General features: G+C 51.4%; 1 annotated feature.

Annotated features, from left to right (window-relative positions):
- Positions 536-736: a silencer, noted in NCBI's record as "peak54 fragment used in MPRA reporter construct". NCBI's record gives its function as "represses an SCP1 promoter by STARR-seq MPRAs in K562 erythroleukemia cells {active_cell/tissue: K562}" and the evidence as "EXISTENCE:reporter gene assay evidence [ECO:0000049][PMID:32103011]".

A 4845-nucleotide genomic window follows, 5' to 3' on the forward strand; every position in this document is an offset into this window, starting at 1 on the left:
TTATGGTCTAGGTTGTTCTGGGACTGGGTGTGGTGGCCCATACCTGTAATCCCAGCACTTTGGGAGGCTGAGGTGGGAAGATCATTTGAGACTAGGAGTTCAAGACCAGCCTGGGCAATATAGTGAGACCCTGTCTCTATTTATATTTTTTTAATATATTTTTTCAAAAGGTTATTTTGACCTAAAGGCAGGATTTACCGAAAGTACATGTTCTTACGCAAGAGCAGTAGACAAAATAAAAATCTCAGAGGCGTTCCTGGAACTGGTGATAATCAGAAGTCAACACAGCGGGTTAGTGTCCTAGACAGGTCTGCTTCGGCCTGCACACAGGCATTGTTCTAAGTATGTTCCAGATGCTAAGTCGCTTAATTCTCATAAAGGCTTTACGAGGCAGGCACTAGTATTACCACATTTTATAGATACAAGGGCACAGAGAGGTTAAGCAGCCTGCCCGGGTCACACTGCTGCTAAGTGGCAGAGCGACATTTGTACCCCAGCACTCAGGCTCCAGGCCCTGCTGTTAGCCACCGACAAGGCTGCCTCTGCTGATGGAGGGGCTCTCCAGCTGAGCAAGGGTGGCCAAGCCTGAGCCAGCTGCTGGGACACTCGGGAAGTGACACAGGCATATCTTCACACCAAGGAGCACACTGGGAGCACCCTGCTCAGCCAAGCAACCCTGAAGTCAGAGGCCGGCCGAGCCAAGGGGCTCCAAAGGGAGCTATGAACTCCCGGGCTGGACCGCTCTGTCTTTGTTCACAGCCTTCAAGGGAGAGCTCCAAGGACCATGTGAGTCCCTGCAGGGGAGCCATGGGAGGTGGCCTCCCCTCCCCAGAAAACAAGGTTTGGTGCCTGCCCTTGAGTGAACAGTTCGTCCCTGAAGGAAAAACAAAACAATAACATTCAGCTCTGGGTAAAAGATGTTCCCACTGCTACTCCACCAGGGAGAGAGAGTGCACTCATGAGAAGGGCTCGCTTTTGTAGGAGCAGGTACATCTTTTTCCTGGCCTGGAGCCCGTTACAACCACGTCATAAACGCCATGCCAGAGAGGGTGCCCTGCACTGGCCCCACACGGCCCACGTCACCTCTCCCAGAGGGCTGGAGAGCGAGCAGCGACATGGGAGGCTCCGGCAGGTCCTGGCCTTAAGGGTCACCGGCTCCCTGTGACAGCTGACTCCACTCCTGGGAAGAGGAACAGGAGAAATCCTAGAACCAGGAGCCGATCCCATCCACGTGGTCTCTGCCCTCAGAAAGAGGCAATGCTGGAGAGAGGCATCCCCCTCCAGGATGGAAACCACAAGAGCCCCAATTTCTGTCTGTCCTGTTTGCCACTGGGTGTCTAAAATACCACTGGGTGTCTAAAATACCATGTCACAAAGCCTCCACAATTTTTCTCTAAAGGATTCGATGTGAGAAGCTTAGGCTTTGCAGTTCACCAGTCTCAGTGCAAATCCTCCACTCTGCCATTGGAGAGCACACACTGCCTATAGCTTCTGAACAGATGAAGCCTTGTCCCAATCAAACCTTATATATGGACACTGAAATTGGATTTTCTTTTTTCTTTTCTTTGAGACAGAGTCTCACTCTGTCATCCAGGCTAGAGAGCAGTGGCATGATCTCAGCTCACTGCGATCTCCGCCTCCCAGATTCAAACAATTCTCTTTCTCCTGCCTCAGCCCCCTGCGTAGCTGGAATTACAAGCACCCACCACCATGTCCAGCTAATTTTTGTATCTTTAGTGGAGACGAGTTTTCACCATGTTGGCCAGGCTGGTCTCGAACTCCTGACCTCAAGTGATCTGCCCACCTTGGCATTCCAAAATGCTGGGATTACAGGTGTAAGCCACCAAACCTGGCCTGAAATTTGATTTTCATATCATTGTCAGATGTCATGAACTACTACTCCTCTTTTTTTTTTTTTTTTTTTTTTGAGATGGAGTCTTGCTCTGTTGCCCAAGCTGTAGTGGTGTGATCTCGCCTCATTACAACCTCCGCCTCCTGGGTTCAAGCGATTCTCCTGCCTCAGCCTCCCGAGTAGCTGGGATTACAGGCATGTGCCACCACACCCAGCTAATTTTTGTATTTTTAGTAGAGATGGGGTTTTGCCATGTTGGCCAGGCTGGTATCAAACTCCTGACCTCAGGTGATCTGTCTGCCATGGCGTCCCAAAGTGCTGGGATTACAGGCAGGAGCCACTGCGCCCAGCCATGAACTATTGTTCTTCTTTTGATTTATTTTCCCAACCATTAAGAAAAGTATAAATTTGGCCGAGCGCAGTGGCTTAACCTGTAATCCCAGCACTTTGGGAGGCTGAGGCTAGAGGGTTGCTTGAGCTCAAGAATTCAAGACCAGCCTGGCCAACATGGCAAAACCCCATCTCTACTAAAAATACAAAAATTTAGCCCAGCATGGTGGTGTGCGCCTATAGTCCCAGCTACTCAGGAGGCTGAGGCAGGAGGATCACTGGAGCCCAAGAAGCAGAGGTTGCAGTGAATCAAGATCGCGCCACTGCACTCCAGCCTGGCAACAGAGTGAGACCCTGTCTCAAAAAAAAAGTAAAAATCGTCCTTTGCTTGCAAGTTGTACAAAAACAGGCAGCAGGAGGGATTTGGCCTGCAAGCTATAGTTTGCTGACCCCTAACCCCTGATTTTGTGGCCACAGCCCCATGGGATCAAACCCAAACAGAAGGCTCCCAGTGCTCTGCCAATCAGGGATCCCCTGCCCCTCTGCATGGACCCCCATCTAACAACTGCAATTCTCAGTTTGCGCCTCTCCTGTGGGCTCTCGGGATCACCTTGCCCCTCACTTTCCAGCACTCACTTGTTTTCTGAGACTCAGTTCCCGTGTCTCAGGCTCTGGGAGCCCTCTCTGGATACCCTGTAGGGTTCTGATGCACCTCTCTTTACTGCCCAAGCCCCAGCAACTAACCCCTCAATGAACTTGTTGCCAAGTCTGATGGTGGCGGTTTGTTACTCAGCCTCCTCCAATGGCCCGGAAGCTACTGGAGGGCCAGGCGTGGGGCCCTCCAGCTCCCTCTCCCAGTGCTTGGAACGTGGTAAATGCTCTGTAAGTGCTCGTTGGGATCCTCTGTCCATCCCACTCCCTTCTCCTCTTCCTCTTCCTCCTCCTCCAAGTCTCTCAGCCTCTAAGATTGGCTGGCGCAGAGCTCAAGGCCAGAGTCTTGTTTTCTCCACCCACCTTCACATCCTAAGTGAACTCTCCCCAACTCAGGGCTCTAACGCCATCTACGTGGTGACAACTCCCAGACATATATCTCCAGCCCCAACTTTTCCCATGAACCCCAGATGATCTGGAATGTTTTCAGCCACTCTTAAGGTTGGCTTCAACTACGAATGCTGAATAGATAAAGGAGGCCATTGGCCTGAAACTGGTACACATGAGGGCAAATCAGAAGTGTTGAGGCATCATGACCCCATGGGACAGAGGAATTAGAGAAGTCAAAGAAACTGTCCCAAAAGAAACCAGTCAAATGGGGCCGGGCGCAGTGGTTCACGCCTGTAATCCCAGCACATTGGGAGGCCAAGGCAGGTGGATCACCTGAGGTCAGGAGTTCAAAACCAGCCTAGCCAACATGGTGAAACCCCATCTCTACCAAAAATACAAAAATTAGCTGGGCATGGTGGCGGGCGCCTGTAATCCCAGCTACTCAGGAGGCTGAGGCAGGAGAATCACTTGAACCCAGGAGGCAGAGGTTGCAATGAGTTGAGATCGCACCACTGCACTCCAGCGTGGGCGACAGAGTGAGACTCCATCTCAGAAAAAAAAAAGGAAGAAGAGAAACCGCTCAAATATGTGTCAGCTCGGACCAGAGACCAGAAGCCCACTGACTGCTTACCCCTAGTATTCCTAGAGCCTCCCACCTCATCTGGTTGCTCCTTCCTCCTTTGACCCCGGCGGGATGAAGATGCTCTCTGGCTATTCCGCCATCTGTTATTTGAGACTCTCCTAGGAGGAGCAGAAGGCAGGCGTGCTGGTCCTCTTCACTGAACTCGCCTCCCAGCCTGTGTTTCAGGGCCAGAGCCCTGTCCACAGCCCAGAAGACCGAGGCTGCAAACCCACACAAACGGGTAAAAGAGGCAGAGAGCCTGGAGATGAAACATCCAAGTTGGGGAAGAGGTGGTCACTCCCGACAGAACAGATCCTGAGACTTGATCTTGTAAAATGTTGACTATATCAAGCAATGGAGTGTTTCCAGGGCCCTTGGGAGACCATTATTCTCCTCAATGGGTTTTTGGCCCAGAAATCCTCTTGAACCTCAGCCTATCACTTCCTTTTCATAACAGCACTTCATTCCTCCTCCTCACATCCTCCCAGACTCTCCCCAACTTCTCCTTCCATCTGGACCCTTAACATCAGCCAGCATGAGGCCACGTCTCCCCCAGGACTGTGCCACAGCCAAGCTGTCATTTCATCTCTCCCCATAATTAGGCCCTACAACCTCTCCATCACTTTTATTGCCTTTTCTCCTCAAACTTTCCTCCAAAGTCATCATTGAATTCCATACGGAAAGACCCGAAAGAAAGGGAAGGCCCCCGATAAGAAGCATCCTCTTTTTTCCAGGGTTGCTTTTTGGTGCGAGTACTTCTCATCAGCCTGATTACAGACGCGGCTGTGGCCAGATGGAGAATGTTTGCAATACTCGTGGGTTTCTGTTCAGTCTGAGCCTGAATCCAGCCTGAATTTTCTCCCCTCTTTCTGGCCCGCGTTTCTGCCCTCTCCGGATCTTCTCTGTCAAGCCGCAAGAGGAGACTGCTGCCTGTTATGTCTCTGTTTCTGCCCCAAGAACATTCCATCTGAGAGCAGAGCCAGGAGCCCAGTGGGGAATC

This window comes from Homo sapiens, chromosome 1 (genome assembly GCF_000001405.40).
Source record: "Homo sapiens chromosome 1, GRCh38.p14 Primary Assembly".
Classification (NCBI taxonomy): Eukaryota; Metazoa; Chordata; class Mammalia; order Primates; family Hominidae; genus Homo; species Homo sapiens.